This window comes from Homo sapiens, chromosome 9, assembly GCF_000001405.40.
Source record: "Homo sapiens chromosome 9, GRCh38.p14 Primary Assembly".
Classification (NCBI taxonomy): Eukaryota; Metazoa; Chordata; class Mammalia; order Primates; family Hominidae; genus Homo; species Homo sapiens.
The window spans coordinates 2,181,487-2,199,824 of record NC_000009.12 but is presented as its reverse complement, the minus strand read 5'-3'; the positions used below and the strand labels follow the sequence as shown (position 1 = coordinate 2,199,824).

The 18,338-nt window shown below is 40.8% G+C and overlaps 1 protein-coding gene and 1 long non-coding RNA gene across 9 annotated transcripts in view; one reads left to right on the top strand and one right to left on the bottom strand.

Annotated features, from left to right (window-relative positions):
- LOC107987043 (uncharacterized) overlaps positions 1-18,338 on the top strand; it is a 70,735-nt gene that overhangs the window by 42,795 nt on the left and 9,602 nt on the right. The window lies entirely within an intron of this gene.
- SMARCA2 (SWI/SNF related BAF chromatin remodeling complex subunit ATPase 2) overlaps positions 6,205-18,338 on the bottom strand; it is a 178,274-nt gene continuing 166,140 nt past the window's right edge. For all 7 annotated transcript variants that reach the window (NM_003070.5, NM_139045.4, NM_001289397.2 and 4 more), the window contains 5 exons: positions 18,149-18,254; positions 17,583-17,684; positions 13,597-13,729; positions 8,417-8,559; positions 6,205-7,121 (listed from right to left, as the gene is read on the bottom strand). In NM_003070.5, coding sequence (NP_003061.3) covers positions 7,086-7,121; positions 8,417-8,559; positions 13,597-13,729; positions 17,583-17,684; positions 18,149-18,254 — 520 coding nt within the window. In that variant the 3' untranslated portion in view covers positions 6,205-7,085. The remainder of the gene's footprint in view (positions 7,122-8,416; positions 8,560-13,596; positions 13,730-17,582; positions 17,685-18,148; positions 18,255-18,338) is intronic.

Sequence of the window (18,338 nt, the reverse complement as noted above, 5' to 3'; positions counted from 1 at the left end):
GGGGACTGTTGAGAAATGAGGATTATATTTTGCAATGTGAGGAGGACATGAGATTTGGGAGGGCTTGGGGGTGGACTTATATGGTTTGGATTTGTTTCCCTGCCCAAATCTCATGTCAAATTTTAATTCCCAATTTTCAAGGAGAACCCTGGTGAGGGGGTGATTGAATCATGGGGGCAGATTTCCCCCTTGCTATTCTCATGATAGTGAGTTCTCACAAGATCTGGTTGTTTAAAAGAGTATGGGAAGGTAGCACCTTCCCCTTTGCTCTCTTCCTCCTGTTTCTGCCATGTAAGATGTGCCTGTTTCCCCTTCCCTGTCCACCATGATTATACATTTCCTGAGGCCTCCTCAGAAATGCTTCCTGTACAGCCTGTGAAACTGTGAGTCAGTTTCAACCCCTTTTCTTTATAAATTACCCCGTTCCAGGTAGTTCTTCATAGCACTGCAGGAATGGACTAATATACTGCCTGGCTGTCTCTTCTGCTTTGGGGGCAGTGGTTTGCCCTATGAACTCAGTTCTTTGATAAATCTCACAAGAGTTGTTAATTTTCAGTTCGTTCAGCTTTTTTCTGGTTGTACTTGTTGTATGTGACAGATAACTTCCAAGTTCCATACAAGCTGTACCAAAAACTGGAAGTCGCCAGTGATTCTCTCCGAGTGGTAATATTATGAGTATTTTTTTCCTTTGTACTTTTCTTACTTTCAATCTCTTCTCTCTGAGTGGTAGTATGAATGATTCTGAGTGGTAATATTATGAGTAAATTTTTTTCTTTGTACTTTCCTTACTTTCCATCTTTTCTACAATCCATTTTATAATTAAAAAGTTAAAGTGTTCTTTAAAATAGAGAAAAATAAAAACAATGAGTTCAATCTCTATCTGTTGACTTGGAGGAAAATACTCAATGCACTGTTAAGCGAGAAAGGCAAGTTGCAGAGAATAGTATAGCGCCAAAAAAAAAGAATAAAACCTTGAAACATCCTTAAAGTAGAGCTGAGAGTTAAAGCCATCTACCCTCGCAAAGCTTACTGGCTACATTAAAATGGCTTTCCTATTCCATTGTGTTTATTATCATTTTACTATTCCAGGAGACTCTTACTTAGGCAAGTTGTTGTCAAAATTCTCACCTTGCTATTTCCACAATTTTTAAACTGTGTCATGACCTGCCCTAGCCAAATCCCTGTATTGACACACTTTAAATTTCAATAAAATCTGATCTTGACCTCCTTCAAAGAAACTACCAAACTCCATCAAGGTGGTGGCCTCCCTTACCACAGTAAACAATAAATTCAACTTAATCTTATTATCAGGTTATATGTTGTTGGTTTTTTTTGTTGAGATGGAGTCTCGCTGTGTCCCCAAGGCTGGAGTACAGTGGTATGATCTTGGCTCACTGCAACCTCTGCATCCTGGGTTCGAGCAATTCTTATGCCTCAGCCTCTCAAGTAGCTGGGATTACAGGCGTGCACCATCATGCCTGGCTAATTTTTGTATTTTTAGTAGAGATGGGGGTTTCACCGTGTTGGCCAGGCTGGTCTTTAACTCTTGACCTCAAGTGATCCACCTGCCTTGGCGTCCCAAAATGCTGGGATTACAGGCATGAGCCACTGCACCAGTCTCAGGTTGTATTGAGATAACTGGGGAAGTGGCATTTGATAGCCTCTATGCTTGTATGTGTTAATGTGTGCAAGAAGAAAGGTGCAGAAGTAACCACATCAGACTATTAAAGCTGATTGCCTAGTGGGGGAGGTGAATGCTAAATTAATTTTCTTTGTATTATTTCGCTGGTTGTGGTGGATACATGTCCATTTTATAATCCTAGAAGAGGAATTTAATTAAAATTTTTACAAGAGAATTAAGAAATACATGTATTTGCTTGAGGGACTATGAGTCTGTTCACTTTGAGGTTTATAATCCCACAGTGAGCCTTGCTTCATAACTGCGTTTGGGTTCACAAAGAGGCCTCGTTCTTGTGTATAGCAAAATTAGTGTTTAGAAACGGAAAACTTGCTTCCCTGTAGTTGCCAGACTTAGTTGCCTTGTATTATTCAACTTAGCCCTTACGGAAAGTGACGCAGAACACAAACACCTTCTTGCATAAAGCGGCTCAGGCATTTGGAACACGTCACTTTCCTTCTATGAAGCTCAATGTCCTAAACAACACCAGGGATGAATACAGTTCACCTGGACCAAGGTTTAGCGATTCTAGCCCTATCAGTCATTATTCCTGACCCTATGCTCTATCATTTTTCATTACTCCTCCCCAGGCAAAACAGATTCACACACTATATGACAGTATATACAAATAAGAACAGAAATTGTACTTTATCTAGTTTGATGCAGGCTCTTAGTAAATTTTAAGAAAAGGATTAGATGTGCCCATTTCTTCAAGAATAAGATTGACTCCTAAAATTCTTGTGGGAAAAACATTTATTCATAAAGGGAGAGTATGTCTCTACCTTTCTGCTAAGTAAACCAAAGATATTTCCCCCAAGTATTACACCACATCACTCTCAATGAAGGTTAAGTCAAGCACAAATGAAGATTGCTGCCTTGTAATGTACGAGACAGAAAAGCCGTTTCAGAGAGAGAAAAAAAAAATATTCAGCTTTTCCTATTATTCCCATTGATGGTGACTTTCTTTTTAGAAGAATGACAATTGCGTGCTGGGTGTATATGCCTGTACCGATGATCTAAATCAAGACCAGTATGGCCTCATATTGTTCCTCAGGAATGAAATAATAGAGATTATTAAAAGCCTAATAGACTAGTGGTTCTCAAACTTGAGTATATATCAGAATCATCTGGAGCGTATGTTCTATTAGGGGGCCCCACCCTCAGAGTTTCTGATTCAGCAGGTCTGGGATGAGGCATGAGAATGTGCATTTCCAATGTTTCCAAGTCATGCTGATGCTGCTAGTTTGGGGACCACACTCTGAGAAACACTGGTTTCAAAACTGTCAATGATTGAAGGGCCCTTAAAAGCCATCTCCAGTCTATTTCTTGACTTTGAGAATCTTTCTGGATGTTTTAATGACATTTAATTTACAAGCAATTTTTTCTAACATACTGCAAACCTTTGACAACACGACAGTATGTCTCAACTACACAGCTTGCAATTACAGGACGACTCACTTATTCTTCACGTTTTATAGAGGAAATCAAAACTCAAATAAGGCTGTGGCAAAATCCAGAATAACCCACACATTTGACTCCCAATTAAGGGCCATGATCCTAATTTCTCATCTGAATAATTACACTTAAAGATAAATAAGCAGCCTTAGAGGGAAAAAGGTCTTTTAAAACCTTTATATTCCTGCTACAGTACATCTGGTTCCAGTATATTCTGGCTATATAATATCTCTAATGGGAAATTGAGAGGTTCATATTTAAAACACCCCATTTTAAGGGTCTGACCTATGAAAATAGTCTGAGAATCATGTTTCTGGTGGCATAACTCAGGCAGATCCAGCTGTGATGTGTGCCAACTCGGGTCCACGTAGCAGACTGACACTAGAGTAAGAGGCCAGGCTTGGATAGGGGGGCAGTCAGGCGTCTGTTCCTTCAGGTGGCACTGGTGGTGGCTCTAGACTCTCCACATGGGAAGTGCTTAGGAATTCCAGTCTGGTTGGATATGGAACTGGAGGACTTGAAGATATAATTGCACGCTAAGCCTACTCTGTCCAGCACCTATGGAGATGATGGGGTGTAAAAACCTCTTTCTCAGAAAACACGTGGTCTTATCAATGTGTGGGGCAAACATGAACTTGGTCACTACGTATACATATGGCATTATATCTGATGGGTGGATGATGGCAGTAGTGATATCTAAGTCAGTAGCCTTTAGGAACCATCAGTAGCTGGGACCTAAGGACCCCATTCTGGCCCTTGCAGAGGACTGTGAAGGAAGAGCCAGAGTAGCAGGGCCCAGCCAAGAAAACTGGGTCTCAGTGGAAAGGCTCACGGGAACTAGAAACCTGAGCCAGGACTTCTCTGTAAGCCCAATTGTGTCAGCAAGTGCCAGGTAAATGGGTGCCTGAAGCTTATCAACAAGATCAGTTCCAGGCCTCACTCACTGAGGGGAGGTGGGGAAGCTCCAAGGAATATGGGGTCTGGAATCAAACAAATCTAACTTCCAACTTTTGGTGCACAGCTCTTTGCTCTTCAATCTCTTCTTTGCATTATCTTTATTTGTCAAATGGGAACAAGAACTATGCCTTCCTCACGTTCTTGTAATTGAATAAAATAACGCAATCAGTACATAGCCTGATACTCTTAGATTCCTTCCTCTGTTCCTAAAACACCTTTGACCTTGGAAAGAACTACGCTGATGGGCTCAGCAACTAGAGCTGAACAAGAAGGCTGCCACAACGTGGTAAACAGGTCCGCATAGGCACATGCTCGGGATGGCCCGCCCCATCCTTAGCCCTCGCGATGGCCCGTCTTCTTGTTAGTGCATGCTCACTCTGCTGCCACCTCAATTATCACCTGGACTGTTTACCACCAGTCCCACCCGAAGGAGAAGAGACTCCTGTTCTCAATGATCATCCCTGGCTCTCATTTCCATTATAGCCAAAGAGAATAACACATTCTCCTTGAAGGATTAGAGAACATTCTTCACACAATAGAAATCCTGAACGATGGAGACAGTGGTTTTGAGGGCGTTAGAAACAGCAATGCTTCTGAAGCCAAGGAGAGATTGCAAAGAGCACAAAAAATACAGAAAATACAGAAATAGAAGCAAGCAAAGATGATTGTTTTCTTTGAACTGATACCAAATCATCTCAGTAAGAGAAACTAATATGGGTATACTGTTTCATGGAGGTCTCCAATCCTATTGCAGTTAGCAAATCCGAGAAACCAACCGAGAAGGGAAACTTCTCCTGAACTCTCAGACTACTGGAAATTAACAAACGAGTTGACATTTAGAGAGACAAAGAAGTTTCTCAGGACTGTATTCTGTGTGGATCAAATTTCCTTCAGGATTCACAGCAGTATGCGGCATTGGCAAATCCTCACATGTAAAAGCAAGGATCCTGGAGTTCTCCTTAGATCATTCTAAAAAAGGAAGCTTTCACCAACCCAGCAGTGTTGAAGGAAAACTCTCCCATTTTGATCCTATCATCATCACATCACCAGTTCCTTAAGAAAGAATCGGCCGGGCACGGTGGCTCACGCCTGTAATCCCAGCACTTTGGGAGGCCGAGACAGGCAGATCACGAGGTCAGGAGATCGAGACCATCCTGGCTAACAGTGAAACCTTGTATCTACTAAAAATACAATAAATTAGCCGGGCATGGTGGCGGGCACCTGTAGTCCCAGCTACTTGGGAGGTTGAGGCAGGAGAGTGGCGTGAAACGGGTGGGGGGGAGGTGGGCAGAGCTTGCAGTGAGCTGAGATCGCGCCACTGCACTCCAGCCTGGGCAATAGTGTGAGACTCCGTCTCAAAAAAAAAAAAAAAATTGCCCATCTTTGTGCTATTTTTTTGAGAACTTTAAAAAAGATATTGAGACAAATGTTACAATCAAACACAAAAAGTGTGAGCCTTGAAAAGATCCTGGCTAAAACTAAACAAATACAAGATGATGTTAGGACAGTTGGGAAAATGTGACTATGGCTTGTTTCTTAGATATCAGGGAACTATTGTTAGTTAATTCCTTTTGGTATGATATAGGACTGTGGTTGGCTACAAGATACGCTTATTCTTAGATTTGTGCTGAAATACTAGGTGCGAAGTATCGTAATGACTGACGGCACCTTATTTTCCAATGGTTTGGTAAAATAAAACGGGGTGGGGATGAACTATTAATCATTGTTGAATCTCAGGTGGAGGGTATATAGGTGTTCATTGAACCAGTCTTTCGATGGAATATTTTTGAAATCTTTCAAAATCAAAAGGCATAAATAGCAATAGAGAGAGATTTTCCAACTAAGAAACAGAATTTAAGGCTGAGCAGGGACTTCATATGGCTTGGCCCATGGCAGCATCTCTTCTGCTGTTTGTTTAATAAAGTCATGGGTGCAACAGGCTCCCCTGGTGGACATAGCTGGACCACTTCAAGGAGACTGGCTCTCTCGACCTCTCCCTTTTTTTCCCTATCCAGTGTTCAGTAGCAAGAGCCTGCCCAGCCCTCTGCAGGAAACTGCCACTTCAGGCACAAGGGTTTCAATCCTCTAGAATTCAAAGAAAGAGGCTGCATTTGTCAAGCTAAATTATTTCTTTATTAGGAAAGCACCAACACCACATTCTTCGAAATTACTGGAATTTTATTTGCCTCAGGCTTATGACTTGCAACCAAAGACATTGTGCAAAGAAAGCAAAGATTAAGTACACTTTAGGGAGAAGGAGACGATACACATTGGTAACATAGGAGATCAGGGTGACAAAAGAAGCCATCCAATACACTATATAGATTGCAATATTCAATAGCGCTTTCAACAAAACTTTTTTTTAAATCAAGAGCAAAAAAATTAAGCAATGTTTACAGTAGACATAAATCTTATACAATTCAAAAAGCTTTTGTTCAGATCATAGAGCATAAAATGGAAAAATGTATATGCAGGTGAAATCTAACTACTGTACATTTATCACCTATTAAAGTTGCTTATATGTACCACAGTGTAAAAAAACAATACCGAACAAATAAAAACCTCGAAAATTGCCTGATGAAAAATAAAATAACCAGTGGCTTTTAATGGCTTCTCCTGGTTATCAGTGCTACAAAAGACAAAAATCTTCTCATCTGAACAGGTGATAAAACCAGGCACAATCAAACCGTTACCAAATTAGACCCACCCATAGAAATATACTATCCACCCACATATTTTCCATCAAAAGCTTTTTGTTTGTTTCAATCTGAATCTTTGAGGCCCATTTGGTCACAATATGTTACAAATATTTGTGTATGTGTGTGTTTTTTACACCATGATATCATATGTTTGTCTGGCACTATCCTAAAGCTAGTTTATAGACGATGATGATATAGAAACAACCCAGTGCCTATATGACAAATGAACTCACTGGGTAGAAATGAGACAGGGGAGGAAGGAATTCAGTTCTACCAAGGAAAAAGGTCCATACTGATCACTCATCATCCGTCCCACTTCCTTCTGACTGTTCCTAAAAGTAAAAATAAGAAGATAAAATGAAGTAACATCACATGCAAGAAAAAGAAGATATAACAACAAACCATCAAGAGGCCAGTAGGAAAAAATGACATTTTGGAAACAACTCGCCAAATCTCTTTCCGTGGGAGGACAGAAACACATTAAAGAGGCATCGACAGTCTCTAAGCTGAGAAGTTTTTCTTACTGAAAAACCCCAAAGCAAAGCCCACCCTCTAAGCTATTGTTTGTGCCCTTTCACTTTGGCTTGAAAGGTTTATGGCTAATATTTTCTCTTTTTCAGCCCCAGGTTTTAGAAAATTCATGGGAGAAAAAAAAATACCCTGCATTTGACATCTCCTAAAGAAAAATGTATTTGAAAATGCTTGCATCAAGGGTTAAGGCTGGGGTGAGATCATAATTCTGAAATTTTACCAAAATGGTAATGTGTTGAAGGAAAATCAAACTAGGAAAAGGGAAATTTATCTTTCCAGAAAGAAAATAATGTGGGTGCCAGGAAACCATCCTCTGGAAAGTGAATGGATGAAATGAAGGGTATTTCAAAAGGCAAGGTATTAGGAGCTTCTGCCCACTCTTCTACCTTGCTGCCCAGTCAGACATAGCACACTAGACTGAGTTATGCTACTCGGGTCCGAATTCCACCTCTGCGACGTGATCTGTAGCAAAACACCCATAACCTAACCATTTCCATAACATGTTATTTGAGAGTGACATCTATCTCACGATGCCGACATCAGTATTTAATATGCTACCACACAGGGAGGTACCTATTACAAGGCCTGGCTCAATAGATGCTCACTGAATTTTTCAAATATGAAAAATAACACCCCTAGGTACTTAAAAAGTCCTTTGAGTTTTTACATGGTCCCTTAAGTAGCAACTCGAGCCAATAACTCTGACGTCATAACAGTTTTTCTCATTCTTCCATCTAATCTACTGTTATGTACCAGGCACCATGCTGGCTGTGATGCATGTAAAATATTAACTGGCTACGGGGAAAACCATATTTATAAGAAAGCATGTGGGAAGATTAAAAAGGGGGAAAGGGAAGCTTGATTTGGTAGTTTTTCATTTTTGAAGACTATTAAAAAGGCAATAAACAAAGCCCCCAATCCTTTGTTCTAAATCATACAGCTCCGTTCACATCCCTCAATAATGAAATCTCACTAAATCCTGACATTTCCAGTCCTGGGTAATAAAGCGAAAAGGCTGAAGGGGCATGGAAATGCAAGAGGCCAGCAAGCAGGGGAGAGGGCGTCTCCGCCTTCAGTCCCAGTCGGCTACACTTACACGTTCATCCTGCTCCTCATCGCTGTCAAAATCGCTCACTACAGGTTTGGCTTTTCCTCGATTTGGCCTTTTCTTGCCTTTCCCTTTGTCCCGGCCTTTGTCATCTTTTTTATTGAGCTTAATTTTCACCTTGACTGATTTTGCTAAAACCAAAGCAAATGAAATAGACACCAGTGAGTAATCACAAGGAGATCTTTGTATAGGTGGTAAGACTATCACCAACCTACAGACAACACAAACATCCCAGAGTGCCCAGAACATTCCCGGTTTATGCCTGTTCTGTGTGGTTCTGTCTAGTCAGCGACCCCTTTCACTTGCCAACCTGTCTTCTTTTGGAAGATAAATGATGTAGTCACGCTAAACAGGCAACAAGAGGGACCGAGGTCTCATGGAGGACAGTGGGGCTGGATCCTTCACCTGTCTCCCAATGGCTGACCAAGGATAATGAGGGGAAGTGTTTTCTACTTGTGGAGGTGTTGGGCAATCATTTAATAGAACTTTTACATTAAAAATATAAATAAATGTAAAGAGTTTAAAGGCCAATAATTTTACCATGTAGATAACTCCATTGACTTAAAAAGAAAATTCAAATAGTTCAATCATATTTTTAACATAAAGGTACAAAATGGAAAGTAAAAAGAAAACACTTTTGAATGCTTCCTTTCCCCCATTCCTAGTCTCTTTCCCTATAACTAATTATTTCCAGGAAAAAAAATGTTTATGTCCATACCTGCAAGTACATCCATTTCTCTCTCTCTGTGTGTATGTGTGTGTGTGTGATTCTACATATTCTATAAAAGTCTCTCTATAGAATATAAAGAATTCAAGTAAGTATATATACACACGTACATACTTGAATTCTTTATGTAGTTATCCCAAAGGGATCTTTATACATGTCCATATTCTCCACTTGGCTGTTTACTCACATATGTGGGATATTTATAGGTAAAGCCTCATACATACCTGCCTAATTCTTTTAAATACCTGAAAATTTTCCATCGTATGGTATACTATAATTTATTTAATCAGTCTCATATGATGAGGGCTGAAGTTTGCTGCTTTTTTTGCTAGTATAAACAAAGCTGCTGTGAACCTATTTCAATGTATCTTGGTAGAATTTGAGGGAGGTATGGTGGACATGTCCATATGGTAAATTTCTAACAGTGCTCTGTCAGATTAGCCTTCAGAAAGACTGCACCCATTTCCACCTTCACAGGACTATTCTGGGGATACCAATGGAAACACTTGGAAGAGTTCAAGGTACAATATCACAAATATAGGTACATATCCCAAAGAACAAAGACAATCTGCTCCATGGTAGCTATTTGGGATAGGTATCCACAGAATACCATTTTTGGTATTTGATGATGAAGGCACTGAAAATGTGGGTCTCTCATTCAAGCTAGCTTTGCTAGACTACCATGTTTGGTGGGTCTCAAGGCATCTAGAAATAGATGTTGTCATAGAGGGAATCCTAGCTCCAGAAGGAGATGAGAGTGTTTGTTTCAGACTTCTTTTGTGAAGTAGAGGGACCCACAAAATATTTCCAAAACTAAAATCTCCCACAGAAACATAAGCTAACAGAAGAGATGAGAGCTGTGCTGTTATGAACTCAAGTGTGGTGGTAGCATTTGCCTTTCCTCCATTCCAAATCCTAATACACAAAATAGTACTCCTAGCCAAGGCTTCTATCTATTATACCCACTGTCTGCTGCTTGACAAGCTATAAGGTGGGGCCCTTTGCTTTGGGTGGAGTAACTTAGGAGAAGAAGAAGAGACTGGAGATGAAAAGGCCTACCTACTAATGAAAACGGAAAGATGTAGGACGTCGAAAGAAATAGATGAAAGAAGCCAGTCATAATGGGCATTTCTAAACAGTGTGGAAAGACAAAGTGAAATATGTCCATTTATACAGGTGTGGGCTCTCCCTGACACAGGAGTATAGGAAATGAATGGGCAGAAGACAGGCAATAGGGGTAAGAAAATGTATCCTTGAGAGCGTAATCTAAATGTGCCTTGGAGTGTGGCGCACTCTAATGCTGTCAGGCACGCGTCAGTGGATATGTCTCTCCAAAAAACCCACCTGACAGACTATGGACAAGCAGGCTAATAAACTGGACCATTAGGTGAGCCCTATAAACAGCTTCCTAAGGTTTTATGATACAACCATATGCACCTATGAAAAGTTCTAGCTACCAAGTGTGGTGGACAGAATATCATCTCCTCACAAGATGTCCATATCCTAATCCAAGAACCTCTGAATATGTTATATTACATGGCAAAAGGAATTTTAGACTGTTAATTGTCTGACCCTGAGATGGGGAAATTATAGTGGATTATCCAGGTGGGCCCAGTCTAATCATCTGCATCCTTAAACGTGGAAGAGGAAGACGCAAAAGAGAGATTCATGGAGACACAACATGAGAAGGACTGTACCTGTCATTGCTGGCTTTAAAGTTGGAACAAGGGGTAGGGGTGGGGAGGCAATGAGCCAAAGAACACTGTTGGGAACAGCCTTCCACTGGCAGCCAGCAAGAAAGTGGGAACTTTGTTTCTACGAACACAAGAAATTGAACTCTGCTGAGAACCAGGATGAACAAGGAAATGGGATTCCTATCTAGAGCATCCAGAAAGGAATGCAGGCTGCTGACACATTGATCTTAGTCCAGGGAGACTCATGCTGAACCTGTGACCCACAAGAGGTAATAAGTTTGTGTTGTATTAAAGTCACTAAGTTTGTGGTAATTTGTTATAGCAGCAATAGAAAATTAATATACCAAGGCTTGAGAAATTAAACTAAATTGATGGATGGGGGAAGAGAGCAGCTCTTTGAAAACAGATTAGAAATCTGGCTCTAAAATAATGAAATATATAGCTAAAATAGATGATGCAGATGTATTCAAATGCTAGAACAAAGGAATAACTACATGAATTTGGGACAGTTTAAATTCATAACAAATAAAAGGCAGAATCACTAACTAGAATATAGATAATAGAAAATGACGTTGGGAAAGAGTCGCTTATGTATGTTGAGGGCAAGAATGGAAACTCCATTCTCTGTGGCAATGTGTATACATCACATACATTTTACATCTTTTCAATAATCTATGGGTAAAATGCTCAGGACAGCATTATTGGGAAACAGCCTGATTAACAGAGTATAATTAACACGTTACAGTACATTCACATTCATTAATGAATGTTAATATGTATTATACATATTAATATATGTTGCTGTAGAAAAACCCTCATTGCCATGGAAAGTGTTCATAATAAGTACAAAAATCATTACATTTTCCAAATCATCTGTATTAACATGTAATTAGAAACCTAATAATTTTTTAAAAGCATGTCTATACTTTTAATATATTTGAAAAGGTAAAAAAACGTGTAATTCTATATCTCTACATACATGTAATATTTTGAGACGTTACCTTTTTTTCCACACATAAATTTGTTTATAAAAACATAGCACACAGTTTTGTGGCATGATTTTTGTACTTATTATGAATATATTGATCAGGCTTGTCTCAAACTGGTGACTTCAAGTGATCCAGCCACCTCAGCTTCCCAAAGTGCTAGGATTACAGGCATGAGCCACTGGGCTCGGCTTATACTGTAAAACATAGGTTTTAGTACTTTACTTTGAGAGGTATACAGTGAAGACACACATAGGAAAGAAGAAATTTTATGTTTTAAAATATTTATTAATTATATTTAAAATTTTTTTTTTAGATAGAGTTTTGTTCTGTTGCCCAGGCTGGAGGGCAGCGGTATGATCATAGCTCACTGCAGCCTTGAACACCTAGACTAAGCAATCCTCCTGCCTCAGCTTCCTGAGTAGCTGGGACTATAGACACGTGCCACCACACTTGGCTATTTCTTTTTACAAACATTTTTGTAGAGATAGGGTCTTGCTATGTTATCCAGGCTGGTCTTGAACTCCTAGCCTCAAGCTATCCTTCTGCCTCAGCCTCCCAGAGTGCTCGGATTATATTTGTGAGCCAACATGCCTCACTAAGAAGAAATTTTCAACTTCTGACAGCACCCTTAACCTTTGGAATATTTGGGTTATCAGTCACGGCTGGAACTAGGGTCAAACAATGGAGGCACGCACCTTGGGTGTAAAATTTAAGGGGGCACCAAAACCCAGTCATCAACTAATATCCTAAAAGGTAAATATTTTAAAAACCCAAATTAATGCCCCCCAAATCCATGATAAACAAACTATCAACATTTTAAATAAAGACAGTACCCTGTCATCACCCCTCTTCCCCTGGCAAAAAAAAAATTCTATGCAAAATTCACAGTTCCAACTCAGTTTGACAATTATTTTCTAAAGCTGTGATTCTCAAGGTGTGGTCCTTGGCCCAACATCATCAGTTCCCCCTGGGAATTTGCCAGAAATACGGATTCTCAGGCCCCACAACAGGCTACTGGATCAAACACTGGCATATTCTTCAAGCCCTCCAGGTTTGAGAACCACCGTGGTAAAGAAGAGAAGATAGGTGGCATTAGCAGCAGTGTTGTAGAAAATGTGTAGTAGGCTAATATTCAAAGGCAACATTCAGAAAGTGTTTGCAGGTCAGGTGTGGCGGCTTGTGCCTATAATCCCAGCACTTTGGGAGGCCGAGGCGGGTGGATCACGTGAGGCCAGGAGTTTGAGACCAGCCTTGCCAACATGGTGACACTCCATCTCTACTAAAAATATAAAAATTAGCCGGGCGTGGTGGCACACGCCTGTAATTCCAGCTACTCGGGAGGCTGAGGCAGGTGAATCACTTGAACCTGGGAGGTGGAGGTTGCAGTGAGCTACTGGGAGGTGGAGGTTGCAGTGAGCTAAGATCATGCCACTGCACTCCGGCCTGGGTGACAGAGTGAGACCCTGTCTCAAAAATAAATAAATAAAAGAAATAAAACAGTGTTTGCTAGGAGCCCAGCCTATGCTAAACATTTTACATGCTTGGAGGTCATTTTTATGACCTCAGTTTTATAGATGAGAAAACTGAGCATGAGCAGGGATAAGGACATGGCCACCGGTTGCCCAGCAAGGACAAAGTGGAATAAGGGCTCCAATCCAGATCTGCCCCACTCTAAAGTCTCTTCTGTGAACATCTGTGGAGACAGCTATGCAGGTGAGGAGGGGCAAAGATGTACAGGACCCGAATGTCTGGGCTTACCCTCGGACTCTGACTCTTCTTCATCTTCCTCTTCCTCCTCTTCATTGCTTTCATCCTCACTCTCTTCCTCTTTGGCAATTTTCTGCCGGGCACTCTTAAACACTGACTGTAAGACGATGGAGTCTTCATAGATCTAAATGGTCAAAGGGGCATCTGTTAAAACTGCAAGCTGAGTTACCATGGCAGTGAACTCTTCCTTATGCAATACACCAGCTTAATTCACATGAATTTTAGTAGAAATGTCACCGTTAGCTTTTATGCCCACATGAAAACCCAGTAGCAAAACGCCAAGCCCAAATACAGACATACACATTCATACAGAAAGTCCAAATGCAGTTGAAATTATTTCAAAGTGCATGGATGCTTGGAGGAGAATAGTAGATAAAATATCCTCATATTGGACAACAAAAATGGTATTTTTTAAAACTACATTTCTTATTTGAATTGTTCTACCAAATGCTGTAGTAAGACTGTGGTAAAGCAATCTTCTTTAAAATGCAGTGCCCCTAGCAAGTGGGGGCTATTCCTTATTACTGAGTTTATCAGTAGCAGCCAACACTTATCCAATCAACACTCTATTTTTAATGGATACACATGTCTGAGCATGGCCCTGGGTAGGTGCTGAAAGATATAAGTTCAAAAATGGTCCTTTTCCTCAAAAAATTGAAAATAGAACTACTATATGATCCAGCAGCCCCACTTCTGGGTATATAAAGAATCACAAGAGGCGTCTTGAAAAGACATTGGCACACCCATGTTCCTAGCAGCATTATTCACAATAGCCAAGAGGTGGAAGCAACCCAAGGGTCCATCGACAAATGAGTGGATAAGCAACTATAGTCTATACATTTAATGGAATATTATTCAGTCTTAAAAAGGAAGGAAATCCTGTAACTGGAGGATTGTTACGCTAAGTCCATAAGTGCATAAGCCAGTCACAAAAAGACAAGTAACTCTATGATTCTACTCATACGAAGTATCTAAAATGGGCAAATTCATAGAAACAGAAAGTGCCATGGTGGGTGCCAGGGGCTGGGGGAAGGAGATGAGAGTTAGTTGTTCGTAGGCACGCAGTTTCAGAGTCGCAAGATTAAAAAGTTCTGAAGATCTGTTGCCCATCAAAGTGAATATACTTAACACTACTGAACTGTATACTGAAAAATTATGATAAATTTTGTTATGTCTCTTAATCACAGTGTTTTAAAAATTTAAAGGAAAATAAAACAACCCCTGCTCTTTAGGAACATATTCCTTTTATTGTAAAGAAGACCTACTCGTTCAAAAAAGTGACTGGGCAAATTGCAGTTTGCACCAAATGAACAATATAGGCAGTGAGTATGAGTATGACAGAACAAAGGACCCGCGCGAGAGAGAGAGAGGATGGGACCATCAGGGCAGAATTTTCCAGAGACATCAGAGTTGAGCTGGATCTTAAAGATGAGAAGAATTCCTTCAGCGGTGAGAAATGAGGGGCTTTTTAGAAAGGAAAACAAATGAGAAAGATGAGGAGGCAAGAATAAAAGAGATGCATCTGGGAATTGTATTGATGTCAATTTTCTGCTTAAGATATTGTCTTGGGCCAGGTGTGGTACTCACACCTGTAATCCTAGCACTTTAGGAGGCTGAGGTGGGTAGATCACGAGGTCAGGAGTTCGAGACCAGCCCGGCCAACATGGTGAAACCCCATCTCTACTAAAAAAAATACAAAAATTAGCCGGGCATGGTGGTGCATGCCTTAATCCCAGCTACTTGGGAGGGTGAGGCAGAAGAATTGCTTGAACCCAGGAGGCAGAGTTTGCAGCGAGCCGAGATGGCACCACTGCATTCCAGCCTGGGCAACAGAGTGAGACTCCATCTCAAAAAAAAAAAAAAAAAGATATTATCCTATGTTTTGCAAGATGTTTCCATCTTGAGAAGTAAAAGGTACACAGAATCTCTCTGTACTGTATCTTACAACTGCATGTGAGTCTCGAATGATCTTAAAGAGTAAAAGAAATGTAACTGGGGAAGCAGGTGATCATAGTATCAGTCCGAATGGACTATGGGCTGTTTAGGTTGAGGAGTAGCAGATGAAGCTAAAGACTTACCTTAGACCTCAGCAAGCAGTCTACAGAGATGAAATTCATTCTAGACAGTGCAGGGGAACCTCAAAGGTTGGGAAGAGAGGCAGTAAATGAACAGGATAGGAAGGTGGCTAGAGAAAGACAAATTAGTGTCCAGATGGCCTGGGGGAGAAACCAGTCAAGAGGCCACTTGACACCTTATTTCAGTTGTGAGACAGTCAGAGTGAAAACAGATAGGAAGGTTGTAGAAAAAAGGACTGGATGTATATCATAATAATGCCATATTGACATAAAGAATCCAAATATCTATCCAGAGACTAAAACAAACTGTCTGTCATTCACAAAACCTTCTTTGTTGATTCTTCTACTTTCTATGTCCTGGCTTCAAGCTTAACTTTTTCCTTGGAGAGTGTCTTGAGTAACAGAAGGCTTGCTTTCAAGACCTCCTGTTTTGGTCAAGATACTACTACTATTAACTTGGAAATGTTTAAGTCTGTTCAAGGCACATTCTGAAGATTTCTCTATTCCTTTGTTTGATGACTGAAATTGATGTGCAGGCAGAAGGGTATGATCAGGAAACAGGCTTAAGGAATTTAAAGGTGGCTTGACACTGCATTGGTTGAGGGGTACATCTTTGTCTTTTTCTTTCTTCTTCATGGGTCTGAAGGCATCAGGCCAGAGATACAGACAGGAAAAAAGTCCTACATAAGGTGACAGTAATTGAGGTGTAATTAAAATGAAAGTGCCCTCACCTTGGTTATTTTAATAAATTCAGTTCATTTATATACTCTTAGAATTGTTGACTGTGGAGAAGGGGAGTAAAAAGAGAATTGCAATTGGGCTGATAAAAAGGATTAAAAAGCAATTAGAGGCAGTGTTTCTTTTTTTCCTATAGTTTGTTTTGTCTTAAATTCTAGTAGTTTCAGCTCCTGATCCAAGAGTACAATCAGAAAAATAAAGGTAAATGTAATCAAATATACAATCTCCAAAAAAGCAAAAATGGTACTGCCAGCCTTTCAGCATTACCTTCAATGATTTACTTGAATCCCTCCTCTAATTAGAATATAAGCTTTGAGGCCTGGCACAGTGGTGCACACCTGTAATCCCAGCACTTTGGGAGGCTGAGGTGGGCAGATCACCTGAGGTCAGGAGTTCAAGACCAGCCTGGCTAACATGGTGAAACCCCGTCTCTACTAAAAATACAAAAATTTGCCTGGCGTGGTGGCGCATGCCTGTAATCCCAGCTACTCAGGAGGCTAAGGCAGGAAAATCCCTTGAACCAGGGAGGTGGAAGTTGCAGTGAGCCGAGATCATGCCACTGCACTCCAGCCTGGGCGAGACTCCATCTCGAAAAAAAAATATATGCTTTGAGGCCGGGTGTGGTGGCTCATGCCTGTAATCCCAACACTTTGGGAGGCCGAGGCAGGCGGATCACCTGAGGTCAGGAGTTCAAGACCAGCCTGGCCAACATGGTGAAACTCCATCTGTACTACAAATACAAAAATCAGCCAGGCATGGTGGTGGGTGCCTGTAATCCCAGGTACTTGGGAGGCTGAGAGCAGAAGAATGGCTTGAACCTGGGAGGCGGAGGTTGCCATGAGCCGAGAAGGCACCACTGCACTCCAGCCTGGGAGACAGTGAAATTCTGCCTCAAAAAAGGAAAAAAAAAAAAAAAAAAAAAAAAAAAGACTATAAGCTTTGAAAAGAAGTGTGAGTAGGCGCTAGCACAGCTGTGGTACAAAGGTAATCTGCAGATGCCAAAGCCTCTATTTTCTTACACAGGTAGCAAGGAACATAGGCTTTTAGTTATTTTTCTTCTGCCAGTAGCAATGATTCAAGAGGTAGAAAATGAAATATTCTACTTAAAAAGAACAACGGGCACATTTACAGTTAAGAACTTTTAGACAACTTAACAAGACAGACCTGGGATCCCTCCAGGTTGAACGTCTGAGCGTTGTGACAGAGAAGCATGACATCCTTCTCCAGGTCGCCTAGGCTCCGGTACTTATGATTACGAATCCTTTCCTGATGGAAATTTTGGAGAAAATGGAGAAAAAAAGAGGGAGAGGAAAATTCAGCGATCATTACTTAGTTAACAAAGCCTGATTTTCCCTTTGTCTTCACAGCATAAAGCCCTGCCAGGGATCTGGGACTGCATAACCCCAGGGGGCGCCATTCACCAAGTCCACCCTCCCACTCCCACTGTCATTCCTTTTGCCAAGGAGGAGCATATGATGGGAAATGAGAAGAGCAATAATGTGGGCAGGGGGAGCAGGGAGCCTGAAAGCTCTTCAATAAAATGCAATATAACGTGAGCTCTCAACATGATTAAGTAACACTCACGGAAAAGCACAAGGACATCCCAACCTTTCCTGTCGCGAGCCCTGGGTACCCATCAGTGGCGGTCAGCTCCAACTACAACCATTTCAATGACTTTACACTGCTCCTTTATTTACTTGAAGAATAAAGTTGGTAAACAAAATATCTACCTTTATTTTTTTGAAATCCACTGGCTTCCTAATTAATTCATAGTATTCTGGTAATTCTTTCCTTGAAGGTAACTGAATGAAGACTTCACTGAGCTGTCGCCCTGAACTGTAGGATGGGTGAAACAAACAAAAACAAGCCACATCAAACATTACTGAGGAAAGGTTTTATTTTTATTTCAGAACATGTCAA